General features: G+C 37.1%; 1 protein-coding gene and 2 pseudogenes across 12 annotated transcripts in view; 1 reads left to right on the top strand and 2 right to left on the bottom strand.

Moving 5' to 3' along the window:
• The window catches only part of TMCC1 (transmembrane and coiled-coil domain family 1), a 245,920-nt gene that overhangs the window by 70,833 nt on the left and 155,486 nt on the right, over window positions 1–19,601 (top strand). The gene's annotated exons all lie outside the window — the stretch shown is intronic.
• LOC124906340 (uncharacterized) lies at window positions 3,003–3,102 on the bottom strand (annotated as a pseudogene).
• On the bottom strand, window positions 3,849–3,947 carry RNY3P13 (RNY3 pseudogene 13; annotated as a pseudogene).

The raw sequence follows: 19,601 nt of genomic DNA, 5'->3' as shown, positions 1-19,601 counted from the left end.
TGATTTCTAGTCAGAAGATCACTGGCTGCTGCCAAGTGACTACCAGACTCATAGACTGTTAGGCCTATTAAGCTACTTTGATTAATTCTAATCAAACTCCTGATTTTACAGGTCCAGAGATGTTAAAAACCTGCCTGAAGTTATACAGTTAATTATGAGTGATACCAGGACCAGATCCCTGGGTTCCCTCTTGTTTTGTGTTCAGCATTCTTGCCTCTTTACCTGGTTGAGCATGCCAGAGAATTGAAGAATGCCAGAGAATTGAAGAACACCAGTTCTTTCAAGCAGGAAATAAGAAAAGGGGAAAGGAAAGTTTTTCCTTTTTTCAAAGATTGGTTGCTAGATCAGCTTGTTTGAAGGCAGAAATCTAAGAGCAGTGACAAAGACTGATTTCATCACTACCTCTGGTTTCTTATGTTATTATGTATTTTTTGAGATGGGGTTGGGGTCTTGCTCTAATGCCCAGGCTAGAGTGCAGTGGTGCAATCATGGCTCATTGCATCCTCAAACTTCTGGGCTCAAGGGATTTTCCCACCTCAGTCTCTTGAGTAGCTAGGACTATAGGCATGTGCCACCATGCCTGGTTCTTATGTTATTACTTTTAAACAACTTTTGCCATCATTTTCAGACGGGTAACAGTAGATATCAAATACTGAAATGATTCCCTAAAGTTATTTTAATCCCATTCATCATTAAAATATGAACAGTGACATCCTGGATTCTCAGATGTCTAAACAAAATAATAACAAAATAGTTATTTACAATGCCTAAAAAATAAGGCCTCATAAATATATATAAATATATGTATTTATATTTGAGACAGGGTCTCACTCTGTCACCCAGGCTGGAGTGTAGTGGTGTGATCACAGCTAACTGCAGCCTCGACTTCCCAGGCTCAAGTGACCACCCACCTTAGCCTCTTCAAGTAGCTGGGACCACAGGTGAGTGCCACTGCACCCGGCTAATTTTTGTATTTTTTTGTAGAGGAGTTTTGCGGTGTTGCCCAGGCTGGTCTTGAACTCCTGGGCTCAAGTCATCCACCCGCCTCAGCCTCCCAAAGTGCTGGGATTACAGGTGTGAGCCACTGCATGTGGCCACGGACTCTTATATTTAGTGAGATGGCTGGTTAAATAGTCTTCATGGAGTTATTTCTGCATTGTGAGTTTGAGGGTGGGATGGAAAACAGGGCCCATAATTAAAGTTTCTTACTAACCACATAAAATGTTGCAGAGTTATAGTAAGAAAGAGTGATGACGATGAGAATCATCCCTCTGTTATCTTATTGCCTTAAGACACCAAGAAACCTGCCCTGGAAATGCTGAATTTTAATGAACTCATAAAATGAACTTTAATTGGGAATCTTTTCCATGTAGTTGATAGTATTCTTTGCAAGAATTTTGTTGAAGTGAATTTGTTTTTATATCATTATATCAGATCATTCTTAACAAATATTTGAGTGTCTAATGTATGTAAGATCCTTTCCATGTATACTTTGCAGTTTAATTTGCATGTGAGTATTTTGGGGCAGGTCAATACCTTTAAAAAAAAATGAAGTAATTAGTGCTTAGGGAAAATTTTAAAACTTGTCTAAGACCAGAGAGCTAGTTCATGGCTGAGTCTAAGCTCTTTGCACATGTACACATCTACATCTACATCTACACATCTACAGCACAGATGCCTCAATATTGATAGCTTTTATCATGTACTTAGTGTGGGGAGTGTAATATAAAGGCAGAGAATATAGATCTTAGAATGATACAGGCTGTCAAAAAGTCGGTAATCTGCCAAGTAATTTTCCTAAAACACATAAGAAAAAAACTTGAACAGTTGGTCTTAGTTAAAATTGAAGCAAGATTTGAGGCTTCATAATTAACTCTTGAAGTAGAAACTTAGATGAAAGAAAAAAGTAAGTTTCCCACTGCTTTCCTTATGTACTATCAAAAGGCCACAATGAAATTGCTGGAAGTCGCCACCTCTTACTAACCTCTGAACAGTGCTTAAAAGTAGGAAGTGAGAGGTAATTGGCTGGTTTATCTTTGCTTCCATGCAGTTTTACTGGCCTATAATCTGGTGGTTAATAGCATCGATTGTTTTTAATTCTGTTGTTTTTTTCCTGCCAAGTTGCTATAACCATCTGGGAAGGGTAAGATAAGAGTGCTGGAGCATTGTCCTAAGAAAGTTCCACTTCTCCTTTTGAGCCTTTCTTTAACACAAATCTCATATTGGGAGAGATTTCTACAGTCGTTTTCATTTATAGCTCTCTAACATTCTCCCTAAACGGTTGTCTGGCCTCTCAGAATCTCCCAAAGCAGCCTATTCTACTTGTGCCTCTGTTAGACAAATCTAATATATTAATCTGAATCTGGTACCCTGTATTTCTCCAGTTAGGGCCAATCAGAATATGTAATGCCTCTGCAGGCATGAATTGCCTTCACATTGTGTCTCTTCCTGAATAATCCCTTCTCCAGACTAATAATCCTTAGTCCTTGGGATATATATATATATTTTTTTAATTTAACATTTTTTGATCCAGGCATTTTAAGTGTTTGGGATACAGTAGTGAATTCTCACTACAAACAACTGTACTGTGAAGTATTACTATCTCTATTTTTATAAGTGAAGAAACAAGATGAAGTTGGAATGACTTACCATGTTTACACAATTGGTAAGAAGTTTGTAATGGATGTCAGAACCAAGTCTTTTTAGCTCTAGAAGTCATGCTTTTGACCACTGCTCTTTGCTACTGTAGGTCTTGCCAAGAATAATCTAGTAGGCGTCTTCAAGGCCTGAAATAGATAGTTCAAGGAGAAGGCTCATCTAAGGAATGGCATAAACACCTTCTAGATAAGAAATTCTGAGGTTCCTTGGGATATTAAATGAATCCGTAGCCTTCCTGGGTTCCACTGGGAAACTTGACGTCAAGTAGATTCTTAGCTGGGTTTGGTGGCACACACCATTAAATTTGTGGTTTCAACAATTCACTAAGGACCCCAACGTCCATAAAAAATATGGAGTGTTTCACGAGTTTTTGTGTCATCTTCTTCAGAAGCCATGATAATCTTTGTATTCCAATTTTAGTATATGGGTTGCTGAAGCAAGCCCCGGGTTATTCATTCACATCATAATTTTGAGTACTTAGTCATACTGGTCCATCAACTCTAACTGTTCCCGTTCTTCAGTATTCCGCTTAAATTCTAGTCTCCAGAACAGAACACAATGCCCAGATCTGATTACAGTAGTGAATAGACCTTTCCTAATTCTGAAGTATTATATGCTTATGGTCAGCACAACTCCAGTTTGAAATTGTTTTTCCTTTTTGTGATCTGACTTACCTTTCATCTTTAATTTTTATTTGGCAAAAGTTGTAGAGTTTAATTCAGAGTAATTGAAATTTTTACAGGCAGTAAAATAATACAGATGTTTAGTCATTTTGAGACTGTTAGTAAAAAGACTTTTTGTAGAGAACTTAACTTCTAATTTCTAATATATTTACTTTTAAGAATGAGAACCCTTCACACCTGTAATCCCAGCACTTTGGGAGGCCGAGGCGGGCGGATCACCTGAGGTCAGGAGTTCGAGACCAGCCTGGCCAACATGGTGAAACCCTGTCTCTACTAAAAATAAAAAAATTAGCCTGGCATGGTGGTGCACACCTGTAATCCCAGCTACTCAGGAGGCTGAGGCAGGAGAATCACTTGAACCCGGGAGGTGGAGGTTACAGTGAGCCGAGATCGGGCCATTGCACTCCAGCCTGGGTGACAGAGTGAGACTCCGTCTCAAAAGAAAAAAAGAAAGAAAGAAAAAGAATGAGAACCTTTCACATTCTACATTTTATTTCATTTCGTCTTAGGCTAGTCAAGTGAACTGTTTGGCCTGGAGAAGGAACAAAGAAATCTGTAACTGGTTGTGATCAATTAGTTGTAAGCATTACTGCACTTGGACCAGCCTCAACTTCTACCTTTTTAAATTGGTGTTAGAGATTAACCAAATGTCACCTACATCATTTCCCAACACTGATACCATGTGCTTCAGCACCTCATTTTTCTTACTTTGTATTTATAGTATTATTTATTTAATGTATAGCCATATTCTTCAGAATAATTAAGAATTGTGGCATGTTGAAGAATTCAGTCATTTATTAGCCCTTCAGATATCTTTGTTTTTTAAATCAGTGCTCAATTTGTTTTGCAAAAAGTTTTCTTTAAAACTTTTCTTTAAAAGTTTCTTTAAAACTTTTCTTTAAAAGTTTCTTTAAAACTTTTCTTTAAAAGTTTCTTTAAAACTTTTCTTTAAAAGTTTCTTTAAAACTTTTCTTTAAAAGTTTCTTTAAAACTTTTCTTTAAAAGTTTCTTTAAAACTTTTCTTTAAAAGTTTCTTTAAAACTTTTCTTTAAAAGTTTCTTTAAAACTTTTCTTTAAAAGTTTCTTTAAAACTTTTCTTTAAAAGTTTCTTTAAAACTTTTCTTTAAAAGTTTCTTAGAAACTTTTAAAGAAAATTTAAAAAGTTTCTTTGAAACTGTTCTTTAAAAGTTTCTTTAAAACTTTTCTTTAAAAATTTCTTTAAAACTGATGTCTGCTGATCACAGAAATTTAAAGAAGTTTTGTATTTTTCTTTTTTTTCTTAAAAAATAATTCCCAGCCAGGTGCTGGGGCTCATACCTGTGATCCCAGCACTTTGGGATGCTGAGGTGGGTGGATCACTTGAGGTTGGGAGTTCGAGACCAGCTTACCAACATGGTGAAACCCCATCTCCACTAACAATACAAAAAAGGCCTGGCACGGTGGCTCACGACTGTAATCCCAGCACTTTGGGAGGCCGAGGTGGGTGGATCACCTGAGGTCAGGAGTTTGAGACCAGCCTGGCCAACATGGTGAGACCCCGTCTCTACTAAAAATACAAAAATTAACCGGGCGTGGCACATGTCTGTGGTCCCAGCTAGTCCAGTGGCTACAGCAGGAGAATTGCTTGAACTTGGGAGGCAGAGGTTGCAGTGAGCTGAGATCGCGCCATTGCACTCTAGCCTGGGTGACAGACCAAGACTCCATCTCAAAAAAGAAAAAAAAATTAGCTGGGTGTGGTGGTGCACACCTGTAATTCCAGCTCCTTGGGAGGATGAGGCATGAGAATCACTTGAACCCAGGAGGTGGAGGTTGCAGTGAGCAGAGATCTCACCACTGCACTCCAGTCTGGGTGACAGAGTGAGACTCCATCTAAAAAAGAAAAAAAAAATTCCCAGCTTAATAGAAACTTCAGCCACTCTGAAAATCAAAATATGAAGATGTGGGATAGTCTCTAAGGGCCTAGAAGGAAGAAATTCTTGTTAGCAATTTATTTCCCTTTGGATAATAAGATAGTAAATATTCTTTTCTGTCAGATTTTTTGATTTGGTAATTTCATGATCTTAAAGTTCACAGATATTATTAATTGATTAAGACAGGGTCTTTCTTTGTTGCTCAGGCTGGAGTGCAGTAGTTTGATCACGGCTCACTGCAGCCTTGATCTCCTGGGCTCAAGCGATCCTCCCACCTCAGCCTCCCAAAATGCTAGTGTTAGAGACATGGGCCACCACACCCGGCCGACTCTTATGGGTGAAAAACAAAGATTTTTACTTTGGTCAATAAGGTTGTTTTGGTTTTAAATAACAGTTGACACTGTGCCCCAGAAACCTGATTCAAATGTGCTTGCCTTTTTTTTAATTTAAATTTTATCTTTTAAAATTGATATATAATTTACGTATTTTGGGGGTTCATGTGATCATTTAATACATTTATATAACTCATAAACATCAAATCAATGTAACTGGGATATCTATCACCTTAAATATTTGTCTTGTCTTTTTCTTTTTTCTTTTTAGACAGGCTCTCGCTCTGTCACCCAGGTTGGAGTGCAGTGGTACAGTCATAGCTCATTGCCACCTCAAATTCCTGGCTCAAGCAATCCTCCTGCCTCACCCTCCCTAGTAGCTGGGACTACAGGTGTGCACCGTCACACCTGGCTTATTTTTTATTTTTATTTTTTCTAGAAATGGGGTCTTGATATGTTGACCAGGCTGATCTCAAACTCCTGGGCTCAAGTAATCCTCCCATCTCAGCCTCCTAAAGTGTTAGGATTACAAGCATGAGCCATTATGCCTGGCCTTGTCTTTTCTTTATGCTAGAAACATTTGAATTATTATCTTCTATAATCACCCTACTGATCTATCAAACATTAGGTCTTATTTCTTCTATTTCTTCTATCAGACCCCGTTTATTTGTACCCATTAATCAACCTCTCTCCTTCCCTCCCTCTCCCTTGCCTTTCCCAAGCCTCTGGTAACCACTAGTCTACTCTTTATTTTCATGAGATCCACTATTTTTTAGCTCCCACATGTGAGTGATAACATGTGATGTTTATCTTGCTTGGCTTATTTCACTTAACAAAATGAGTTCCATTTCCATCCATGTTGCTGCAAATGAAAGGATTTCATTCTTCTTTATGGCTTTATAATATTTCATTGTGTTTGTATACCACATTTTCTTTATTCATTTGTCCACTGATGGGCAGTTACATTGATCCCATGTTTTGGCTATTGTGAATAGCACTTGCAAATAAACATGGCAATGCAGATGTCTGTTTGATATCTTGATTTCTTTTCTTTTGGCTATATACCCAGTAGTAGAATTCCTGGGTCATATGGTAGTTCTATTTTTAATTTTTAAAGGAACCTCCGTAAAGTTTTCCATAGTGGCTGTACTAATTTACATTTCTACCAACAGTATACATCCCCTTTCTCCACATCCTCCCCAGCATGTTATTCCCTGTCTTTTTGATAAAAGCCATTCTAACTGGGGTGATGTGATGTCTCATTGTGGTTTTGATTTGCATTTCTCTGATGATTAGTGATATTGAGCATTTTTTCATATACTTGTTGGCCATTTGTGTGCCATCTTTTGAGAAATGACTATTCAGATCTTTTGCCCATTATAAAATTGAATTTGTTTTGCTATTGTTTTGAGTTCCTTATGTATTCTGGTTATTAATCCCTTGTCAGATGGATAGTTTGTAAATATTTTCTCCCATTCTGTGGATTGTCTTTTCACTTTGTTGATTGTTTCCTTTGCTGTGCAGAAGCTTTTTAGCATGATGTGATCCCATTTGTCTGTTTTTGCTTTGGTTGCCTGTGCTTTTGAGGTCTTACACTGAAAATCCTTGTCCAGACCAATGTCCTGTAGCATTTCCCCAATGATTTCTTCTAGTAGTTTCATAGTTTCCAGTCTTAGATTTAAGTTGTTAATCCCTTTTGATTTGATTTTTGTATATGTTCAGAGATAGGGGTGTAGTTCCATTCTGCAGGTGGTTGTCCATTTTCCCCAGCACCATTTATTAAAGAGACTGTTCTTACCCCATTGTATGTTCTTGGTGCCTTTGTTGAAAATGGGTTGGCTATAAATGTGTTGATTTATATCTGGGTTTTCCATTCTGTTCCATTGGTCTGTGTGTTTTTATGCCAGTACTGTGCTAATATGTTTACTATTGCTTTATAGTATGTTTTGAAGTCAGGTAGTGTGATACCTCCCATTTTGTTCTTTTTGCTCAGGATTGCTTTGGCTATTCAGTGTCTTCTGTGGTTCCATATAAATTTAAGAGTTTTTCCTGTTGCTGTGAATGTTACTTATTTCTAGCTTTATTCCATTGTGGTCAGAAAAGTTAATATGATTTATTTTTTTTTAATCGTTGAGATTTGTTTAAGATATGGTCTCTTCTGGAGAATGTTCCCTTGTGGTGATGAAAAGAATGAGTATTCTGCAGCAATTGGGTGAAGTGTTCTATAAATGTCAGGTCTATTAAGTATGGTGTCTACTTTAACTTTTGTGTCTCTGTTGATTTTCTGTCTGGATGATCTGTCCATTATTGAGAATGAGGTGCTGACTTTCTCTACTAGTATTGTATTACAGTCTATCAGTCTATCTCTCCCTTTAGATCTACTAATGTTTGCCTCATGTACTTGGGAGCTCTGATGTTGGGTACATAGATACTTATAATTGTTACATCGGCTTCCTGAATTAACCAGTTTATCTTTATATAGTGACCTACTTTGTCTCTTCCTATAGTCTTCGATTTGTAATCTATTTTATATGATGTAAGTATAGCTACTTCTACTCTTTTTTGTTTTCCAGTTGCATAGACTATATTTTCCCCACCCCTTCACTTTCAGTCTATGTGTATCTTTGTAGGAGAAGTGGGTTCCTTGTAGGCAGCATATAGTTGGGTCTTATTTCTTTGTCCATTCAGCCACTTTATGCCTTTTAATTGGAGAATTGAGTCCATTTACATTCAGTGTTATTTTTGATAAGTAAGGGCTTAATACTGCCATTTTATTGCATATTCTGGTTGTTTTGTAACTCCTCTTTTCATCCCTTTTTTACTATTGTCTTTGTGGTTAAGTGATTTTCTCTGGTAGTATGTTAATTCATTGCTTTTTATTTTTAGTGAATCTGTTATAGGTTTTTGTATTTTGGTTACCATGAGGCTTACAACAAACATAACAAGTTATTTTAAAGAGATGGCAACTTATGTTAGATCACAAAGAAAAGATTAGAAACAAAGATTCTGCCACTTTAAATAGGAATTCACAGGATGAATACTTAAAATTAAAACACTGCAGGAAAATTAGCCTGTGAGTGAAGATCTGGTTCAGGAGTACACTGGGAAATTGTCTGGCATCTTATCTAAACCTTACGCTCAGGTCTTCTCCTAATGTCTTTAGAAATTTCATGGTTTCTGATTGTCAAGCCATTTCCACATAGGAAATGCAAGCCTATAACTCAACTCTTTGGGAGAATAAATGTATAAATAGTTATTCCAACAGTGGACTTTTATCACTTACCCTGCTTTATTATACAAAAAAAAAAAATAAGGAAAAAGAACTTAAGGACAAGTTTAGAATGGATGAACAATTAAAGTGTTTATTATCACAGATGACTTAGTAAATACATTTTCAAATTGTTAAATTTCCTTTAACATATATAAGTACTATTTCCTTAAGAATAATCTCTTCTTCAGTAGAAATGGAATAGCTTCATCTTTTTTTTTTTTAACTTTTATTTTAGGTTCAGGAGTGCATGGGTAGGTTTGTTAAATAGGTAAACTGCATGTTGCGGGGGTTTGTTGTACAAATTATTTCATTACCCAGGTAATAAGCATAGTACCCAATAGGTAGTTTTTCGATCCTCACCCTCCTCCCACTCTCCACCCTCAAGTAGGCCCTGGTGTCTGTTGTTCCCTTCTTTGTGTCCATACTAAATGTTTAACTCCCTCTTGTTAAGTGAGAACATGAGGTATATGGTTTTCTGTTCCTGTGTTAGTTTGTGTAGGATAATGGCCTCCAGCTCCGTAAGGACATGATCTCATTATTTTTTTATTGCTGTGTAGTATTCTGTGGTGTACATGTACCACATTTTCTTTATCCAGTCTACCATTGATGGGCATTTAGGATGATTCCATGTCTTTGCTATTGTGAATAGTGCTGCAGTGAACATACATGTGCATGTGTCTTTGTGGAATAATTATTTATATTCCTTTGGGAAAATACATAATAGGATTGCTGGGTTAAATGGTAATTCTGTTTTAAGTTATTTGAGAAATCGCCAGACTGCTTTCCATAATGGCTGGACTAATTTACATTCCTACTGGCAGTGTGTAAGTGTTCTCTTTTCTCCACAACCTCACCAGCATCTGTTATTTTTTGACTTTTTAATAATAGACATTCTGACTGGTGTGAGATGGTATCTTATTGTGGTTTAGATTTGCATTTCTCTAATGATTAGTGATGTTGAGTATTTTTTCATAAGCCTGTTGCTGCATGCATGTTATCTTTTGAAAAGTGTTCGTTCATGTCGTTTGCCCACTTTTTAATGAGGGTTGTCTGATTTAAGTTCCTTATAGATTCTGAATATTAGACCTTTATCTGATGTATAGTTTGCAAGTATTTTCAAGTATTTTCTCCCCTTCTGTAGGCTGTTTACTCTTTGATAGTTTCTTCTGTTGTGCAGAAGCTCTTTAGTTTCATTGGGTCCCATTTGTTTATTTTTGGTTTTGTTGCAATCGCTTTTGGCATCTTTGTTATGAAGTCTTTGCCAGGTCCTATGTCCAGATGGTATTTCCTAGGTTATCTTCAAAGGTTTTTATAGTTTTTCATTTTAGATTTAAGTCTTAAATATGCCTCATCTTTTTAAGCTTAAAATTATCTCACCTTAAAAACAATAACCTTAGTGTCTCTACCTTTTCTTTTTTTGGGGCGAGGTCGGGTATTTGTTTTGTGAAATCCAGCCAGTGAAGATAAACCAGCAATAAATTTATAGCTTCTTCAATAAAATATCTTGAACAGGGGTATTAAAAGTGAAATCTCAGTACCAGAGATTTGATTTGAGTATTGTGGATGTGATTGTAGTCCTACAGAGTACCAGCTTAAGTTTCTTTGTTATAGTTGTGGTGTTCTTCTTTCCTCTTTTACATAATGCCCTGTTTTTTTCTCATTGGCTTTTTTTTTTTTTTTTTTTTTTTGAGACAGAGTCTTGCTCTGTTGCCTAGGCTGGAGTGCAGTGGCGTGATCTCACTGCACCCTCCACCTCCCAGATTCAAGTGATTCTTCTGCCTCAGCTTCCCAAGAAGCTGGGATTACAGGTGCGTGCCACCACATCTAGCTAATTTTTGCATATTTAGCAGAGATGGAGTTTCACTGTGTTGGCCAGGCTGATCTTGATTTCCTGATCTCAGGTGATTTGCCCACCTTGGCCTCCCAAAGTGCTGGGATTATAGGCATGAGCCACCACGCCCAGCCATTTCTCATTGTTAACACAAAGGTAAAAGCCCTTCTGTACTAATGAATCTAAGAGTATTGAATAGTAAGAATCACCAAAACTTGATTTCTTTCTTTCTTTTTTTTTTTTTTAAATTGAGGCAGAGTCTTGCTCTGTCACCCAGGCTGGAGTGCAGTGGCACAACCTGGGCTCACTGCAACCTCCGCCTACTGGGTTCAAGTGATTCTCCTTCCTGAGCCTCCTGAGTAGCTGGGATTACAGGCGCATGCCACCACGCCCAGCTAAGTTTTGTATTTTTAGTAGAGACAGGGTTTCGCCATGTTGGCCAGGCTGGGCTCGAACCCCTGACCTCAGGTGATCTGCCCACCTCAGCCTCCCAAAGTGCTGGGATTACAGGTATGAGCCACTGCACCTGGCCCAAAACTTGATTTCTTTTTTAAAAAAATGCATAGTCTTGCATTTATTGAAGATTTGCTGAGAAAATTCCCATCTCAGGATCACTTTTCTCAAATGGTTGGACACAGTGGCTCATGCCCCTAATCCCAGCACTTTGGGAGGCTGATGTGGGAGGATCACTGGAGCCAGGAGTTCAAGACCAGCCTGGGCAACACAGTGAGACCCCTGTCTCTACAAGAAATTTTAAAAAAAACAGCCAGGTGTGGTGGCACACACCTGTAGTCCAAGCTACTTGGGAGGCTGAGGCAGGAGGATCACTTGAGGCCAAGAGTTGAGGTTACAGGGAGCTGTTGACTGTGCCACTGCAGTCCAGTCTGGGCAACAGAGTGATATCCTATCTCTAAAAAATTAAAAATAATATATAAAATGAATGGCCATGAAAGTGAGCATCCTAATTCTGATCTATTTGTTTCTGAGCATTTCTTTGTAAGCTTAACAATGGAGTAGTGCATCAGAGTAACTGATCAATATAACCTTCCCCATGTGGATGCTCTGAGGAATACGCTTTAGAATTTTAGTGATATAGAAGCTTATTTAGAAGAACATACACAGTCTTAGGGAGCATACTCTTGGTTTATTAATTAAAAAAACTCATATGTTAAGCAGCTGTGCAAATGCACATTTAAATAACCATTTTACCATAGGATAGGACTAGAATACCTTAAACATTGTTTTCTGCCTTAAGCTCACCACAGGCTTTCCAATAACATTAAACTTGTTTCAACAGTTGTAGATGTTCAAGACACAGCTATACATTCTTCTAGGTGAAAGAACAGTATCCAGGTTTTCTGCTCCATAGAATTGTTATTTTCTATAAAAATGCAAAACACCTGAAGGAAACAATTTACCTAATTTTGTTGTTGTAAATGTGATTGCTTATGAATTGAAACATTGCTTTGATAAGCTTCCTTCCATATTCGTTGATGTCATACATTGTCTTTATATTATATAATTTGTGATGAGTTATACCATAGAATCAAGTTCAGTTTAAGCAGATAAATGCTTGTGAGATTAACATATTCTTCTTAGGAATGTTTGCCCATTGAGCCTTAAGATATAGGGTGAACTTGCTTAAGTTTCTGTACATAAAGATAAAATGCAAGCTGTTTTCTATTGTCAGGAGTTTAGCTTTATGAGAATGAGTATAAAGGTTTTGTGATCCGATTATAGTTCAGGAGGATTTAGGCCACAGTATAAATTACCTGTTTTGGTTCTGCGTACTAGTATGTGATATATGTCTCTTGATTTTTGCTTAGTTTTGTTTTGTTTTTTTTGGGAGACAGTGTCTCTCACTCTGTTGCCCAGTGGTGCAATCTTGGCTCACTGCAACCCCTGCCTCCTGGGTTTAAGTGATTCTCCCACCTCAGCCTCCCTAGTAGCTGGGACTACACGTGCCCGCCACCATGCCCAGCTAATTTTTGTATGTTTTTGTAGAAATGGGGTTTTACCATGTTGCCCAGGCTGGTCTTGAACTTGTGAGCTCAAGCCATCCACCCACCTTGGCCTCCCAAAGTGCTGGGATTACAGGTGTGAGCTACCGCATCCAGCCTGATTTTTGCTCATAGTTCTGTATCAGTATCTTTTGTTGCCTTAGGGTGCAGAGATGTGTGGATTAGTACAGAAATTCAAGACAAGTTTGACTTTCACATGTTGTTTTCATTGTTATGAGGATTTGTAGCTCTAATGTTTTTCTACATAAAATCAGTAAAACTAAATAAAATCAGGGTCCTTATTTAGATGAGTAACTTGCTTTGTCACATCAAGATTAAATGTACTGTTTTAGTGGGATTTACCTAAAAAGAGGTAAAAAAAGAATTGGCTACTACTGAAACCGGGAAAATTGTTTGCAAAATGCATTAATGTTCAGTATGGAAAATACCAAAAGCTATTCTTTTTTGCAGGATTTCAGTACTTTAACTAAATGTTTTTCTATAAATACTGTCTTTACCTCTCTCTCTCTTCTTTTGCACCCTGGAGATTTTTTTTTTCTTCCTGTCAGTTTGTATCTCTTATCATTTACTGTCTGTGGCTTCACAATACTGTATTGTTACAGTACCATTTAAAAAATTACAGCTGGAAGCTCTGAAATGCATCCTGACAAAGGAAGGCTGAATTGTGTGGCTTTAGGCCAACAGTAAGCTACAGGAACAAATGAAATTAAGAAGTTAATATTATTTCAGATATGTGTTTGTGTCCTTAGTCTTACAGAGAATTATTAAAACCAGGAATTTAAAAGTCATATCTGCTTTCCAACACTAGGAGTATGAAACATTTTACTTGCTTGTGAATCTTCTATTTTAAATGTTATTTTTTGTGAACAACTTTCTGTAGATTTATTTAATATAATCTTCCAGAATTTTTTTTTTTTTTTTTTTTTGAGATGGAATCTTGGTCTGTCGCCTAGGCTGGAGTGCAGTGGCGCGATCTCAGCTCACTGCAAGCTCCACCTCCTGGGTTCACACCACTCTCCTGCCTCAGCCTCCCAAGTAGCTGGGACTACAGGTGCCTGCCACCACACCCAGCTAACTTTTTGTATTTTTAGTAGAGATGCGGTTTCACTGTGTTAGCCAGGATGGTTAGCCAGGTCAGGATCTCCTGACCTCGTGATCTGGGATTACAGGTGTGAGCCACTGCTCCTGGCCTAATCTTCCAGGTTTGTTAAGCTCTCAGAAACAAGTTTCTTTGTTTTTTTTTTTTTTTTTCCAGCATATCTAACCCAAGTAAAATTTATTTTAACTTTTTGATCTTTTAATTTTTTATTCTGAAATTTATCTAAATATTTTCTAAATAACATGCTTATGCTGCTATTTTTTTTTCTGTTTTGGATATCTTGACTTCCTTTAATGAAAATGATCATGTAGCTTTCTTATTATCTTTTTCCTATCCATATCTTATTAAAATTTTAGTTATATTTCAATATGCTGTTTACATTATGCCAATGTAAATATATTTACAACTTGAGCTTTGTAGTATAATATGATTACACTTCCCTTTTTATACACCTTTTTGCTGTCTCTGGAGTTAATTGCTTTAATTTTTGTTGTTTATAACTGTCATTGGGTTCTCTCCAAATTCTCAAAGAACTGTAAATCTTTCATTATTTTCTTTTTTTTAAATTTTATTATTATTATTATTATTATTTGAGATGGAGTCTTGCTCTGTTGCACAGGCTGGAGTTCAGTGGTGTGATCTTGGCTCATTGCAACCTCCACCTCCTGGGTTCAAGCTATTCTCTTGCCTCAGCCTCCCGAGTAGCTAGGATTACAGGTGCACACCACCATACCCACTAAATTTTGCATTTTTAGTGGAGACGAGGTTTCACCATGTTGGCCAGGCTGGTCTCAAACTCCTGACCTCAGGTGATCTGCCTGCATTGGCCTCCCAAAGTGCTGGGATTACAGGCGTGAGCCATCATGCCCAGCCTTATTTATATATATATTTTTAGACAGGGTCTTGCTCTGTCACCCAGGCTGGAGTGCCATAGCACAGTCGCAGCTCACTACAGCCTTGACCCCCCACCCCCGACCCCAGTTTCAAGCGATCCTCCCAAAATCTCTCAATATTTTCAAAACAGCATTTACTCTTCTCAGTTTCAGCTTTTCTTGGAGATACACTTCTGGAAGCTCTCACTTTTCCTCTAGTCTGAATTGACTACTCTCCAAGAGTGTTGCACATCTTTTGTTCTGGGACTCCTTAATCTATTAATAAATAACATTCTTTGGTTCCTTGATTTCATATCCTCTTTTTGGTTTATTCCTTTCTTTTCTTGAAATGTACACTCTATGAGCCTTATAGAATAAGGGTGCATGGAAGATAATTTTTCAGAAATTATGCCCATTCCAAAATTTATTTTACCTTTATACTTTAATGGTAGTTTGGCTGAGTACTGAATTTTAGGTTGTAAATAAATTGCCCATGTATTCTTGTATTGTTAGCTTTTAGCTTCCAGTATTGACAAAAAATCTGGTGCCATTCTGATTCTTGACCCTCTGGGTATCACCTGTTTTTCTCTCTAGAATTTCAAAAAAAGCTCTTCTCTTTGTCTCTGTTGTCCTGAAGTTGTACAATGATGGGCCTTGGTGTGGGTCATCTTGGCAGCCCAAGGCATAGGACTCAGAAGTACTCAGCAGACTCAGTACTATGCAGCCTTAGGAGTCTTTCAATCTGGAAAATTTATGAGTCCTTTCAATCTGGAAAACTCAAAGACTGGATCTGGAAACACTGGTTTTAAAAAACTTCTTTCAATATTTTTATATTCTGTATTTTATATTTTATTGTGTAATATTTTATTCATATAAAATAAACATATAAGCTATGACACATAGTAATACACTACCTGTGAACCAGCCATACAACATAAGAATGGGAACATTACCATTGCCATGCTTTTGTAACTCTTTACAGTTCTCCTCCTGTCCTAAATTATATATTTCAGTACCTGGACTTCTAAAAGAAGAATTACTACAAATGTTTGTTGACACTAAACAACTATTGTTTAGTTTTGCCTGCTTGGGGGCTTTGTAAAATGATACCATAGCTTATGTAGTCTTTTAGGGCTTGCTTTTTAGGCAAAAATAGGTTTCTAAGATTGATCCATGTTATCACATATAGCTGTATTCATATTATTTATTTAATTTCCTCCTCCACCTATATATATCTTTTTCTTAGCAGTTAGCTCTCCTGACTTACCGTTTAGTGGTTTTTTTTCCTTTGTTCTTTCTTATTTTCTCTCTGTCTTTTGTTCTAATTTCTGGTAGATTTCCTTAAAGTTTATTTTCCAATCCTTTCACTAAATATTTTATTTCTGGTATTATGTTTTTAATTTCCTGAGTGCTTCTTTTTCTTGTCTATGAATGCTTCTTTTTTGTAGCATGCTTTTCTTGTTTTATATATTTGTTTTCTTTTGTCTCTGAGGGTATTTTCTTTTGCTTCTTGTAATATGTCTGTCTTCTGAGTTTCTTCTCCACTAAGTGTTTTAGTTTCTGTCTTTTATGTTAAAGACTTTTCTCAAGTGTCTGGTTAACCATGGCTTCCTTCTCCTATTTGAGAGAGGCATTAAAATGGTATGGGAAACCCTGTGAGGACAGAGACTAGTTTATTGCAAGGCCCTTCAGTTATCAGTATCTATAGGTCTTTTCTCCAGTTTTCCCTGAGAAATTGTTCAAACCTTTGCCTTTGGAAATGGGTGGATGATGGTGGTGGTAATTAGTCTGGGTGCCTGTGTTCCATAAGACGAGGTGGAAGAGGACTGAAATTCTCATCTGTTGGCTTAGTCTATCTGTCCTCAGAATGATGATCTGTTTTTCATCTTTCATAATTTTATTGGAATCTTTTATCTATTGCTGTCTCCTCTCCAGTTCTCTGCCTGTGTAGGTTTATGCCTTTTATTATTCAATTTTAGTAGAGAGCCAAGATAAGTCTGTTCAACCCTCCGCGTTTAATCCATGCTTCCCAAACTTGTATTAGAATAGAACTTCAAGGGGCTTCGATACAGGCTTGCCCACTAAACTCTTCTTTGTCCCTAAATAAATCACTAGGAATCTCACTTCTGTGACACTGTAGGCCAATTAAAAGAAAATGACACTTACATTACTTACGTTTTGTTATTGAGTAAACAGAATTTGAGACAGAAAGTAGCTACCAAAGTGATTTTGCTATATAATTGTTTTTTGTTTTTTTGTTTTTTTTTGAAGAGACAGGGTCTTACTCTGTGGCCCAGGCTGGAGTGCAGTGGTGAGATCATAGCTCACTACAGTCTTAAACTCCTGGGCTCAAGCAGTTCTCACCTCAGCCTCCCAAATGGCTGGGACTACAGGGTGCCACCACACCCAGCTATTATTTTTATTGTTTTTTTGTAGAGATGGAGTCTCGCTATGTGGCCCAGTCTGGTCTCAAACTCCTAACCTCAAGCAATCCTCCTGCCTCAGCCTCCCAAAGTATTGGGATTACAGGAGTGGGCCACCCAGTCCAGCCAGAAATGTTCTTTTAATTGTTATGATTAGAAACAAACGGATTCTAGTCTTTGTCTTCTCTACTTCAAAACAGTAGTTCCCTATATTTCAACAGACTGTGTATGTGCTAGACAAAATGAGTAATCCTGGATTAAAATCTTTCCTTTTCATTGGCCTACAGTGTCATAGACAGAATAATCTTTTAAATGTGACCAGGTGCAATGGCTCACACCTGTAATCCCGGCACTTTAGGAGGCCAAGGTAGGCAGATTATTTGAGCCCAGGAGTTCGAGAACAGCCTGGGCAACAAGGCAAAACCCTATCTCTACAAAAATACAAAACAATAGCCAGGCGTGGTGGCCTGTGCCCACAATCTCAGCTACTTGGGAGGCTGAAGTGGGAGGATTTCCTGAGCCCAGGAGGTTGAGGCTGCAGAGAACTGAGATTGTATCACTGTACTCCAACCTGGGTGACAGAGCAACACCCTGTCTCCAAAATAAATAAATAAATAAATAAATAAAAAGGTGACTTTCGATATTAAGGCTTAGTCTTCTTAATTTTAATATGGTGAAGGAAACCTGGCTTAAGGTATATAACTCCAGCCTGGTTTTTAGCATGTCTTATATTTAAATATTACTTTGAACCATGTGAAATTGCCAATACTGGAGCAGTTTTTGGCTCACAAAAGTGGTGATTTTATATGATGCACCATAATGAAGTACCATAACAGCTTAGTTAAAAGATTCTTCTGTCCAATATAGGAATTCATTCCGTAGCATTCTTGGAAACATTCTGGTAGGAGAAAAGGATGAGGTAAAATGGGGATTTTTCATATCAAGTAAGGGGGAGAGTTGAGGTCCCCATTGAGTACAACTAGTAGGTCCTAGAGCTGCATTAGGGTTCCTGTGGTGTGCTATAAGCTCTATGCTACTGAGGCTGAAGGCTGTAAATTCATTGATGTGACAATTAGATATACCGTGCCCACAAATCTGAATACTACCACATACTCTCCAAATACCTGGCTGACAAGCTATGGACCTGTATAGGATTTCAGCAAATTTCAATTTAGCCAAAATAGTATTACTTAATTTAGTTTACTCTGTGTATAATTTTCCTATGTGTTTCCTTAGGTTAGTAGTTGAACTTCAAAATGATAATAAAACTGTCCTGGGGTTTAAAACATTGTAAAAATAAAATATGCAACAACAATAGCCAAAGGGGTCAGGGGAGGCCTAATGGAGGTAAAAGGCCTTGTATTATTTGGATTTGGCTAAGGTAGACTGTAAGTTAAGAACATATGATATAATTTGCAGGGTAACCACTCAAAGAATAGCACAAAAAAATGTAGCTATGTTATATCATCTTTCTTTTGGTTAGTATTTGCATGGCATTATATTTTCCATCAGGCGAGTTAGACTTTAAGGCAAGAAGTATTACCAAAGATAAAGAATGACATTTTATAAGGCTAAAGTGGTCTCTTAATAGGAAGACTTAACAATTCTAAACAACTTTCCCTTATTGCTTGGTTTGCTAACCATTCATGTGGTCTTTGGGGCTTTTATTTTTACCAGTGTTCTCATTTTTCACTGCTACAGATGTTTTTGTAGTCTATAAGAGAAGAGTTGTTTGTTTCTCTGACTAAGGTAATGTTCATGTTCAACGTGCTCTGGGCATTGCAAACGATTGCAAGGAATACCACCTGAGAACAAAACCTTAGACATATAATTATTTCATTTAGTGTTCTAATTATTTTAATGTAATTATTGTCCTTTTTAAGATGCTAAGTATGAGAGATGGAATTTAGACGAGGACTAAGAAATTGATTATATTTTAAAATAATTATTTTTTTTAATTACACACAATGTATAATCACACATTGTGTGATTATGAGTAATAAGGTATTAAAAAGAAATCAAAAGAGTAGATATTTGTTCATTTATAAGGATTCTTGGCAGTAAGCCTTTTGTGTTTGTGTGTGCTCTGGGTCTTTAAAGCCTTGTATTGAGGTGTCAAAACTTTTCTGGATAAAGTCATCTGTTGAATTCCATGCCTAAAGGCAAGAAAAGGAAAGTGAGGTTTAAGGAAACAAAATTAAAAGTGCTGAATCAAAGGGCATACATGAAAATAGAAATGCAATTAGTATCGCTTTTTTTATTGTGGTAAAAACACATAACAAATGTACCATCTGAACCATATTGAAGTATACAGTGCTGTAGTGTTAAGTGTATTCATATTATTGTGAAACAGATTTCCAAAATTTTTTCATCTTTCAAGCCTGAAACTCTAAACCCATTAAATAGTAACTCTTCCTTTCCTTCTACCCTCCCCTCACTCTCTGTTCTGCTTTCATTTCTTGGAGTTTCACTAGATATCTCATATAAGTGGAATCATAAGG

The sequence above is a fragment of the Homo sapiens genome, chromosome 3 (genome assembly GCF_000001405.40).
Source record: "Homo sapiens chromosome 3, GRCh38.p14 Primary Assembly".
Lineage (NCBI taxonomy): Eukaryota > Metazoa > Chordata > Mammalia > Primates > Hominidae > Homo > Homo sapiens.
This window is presented reverse-complemented; position numbering and strand designations above follow the sequence as displayed.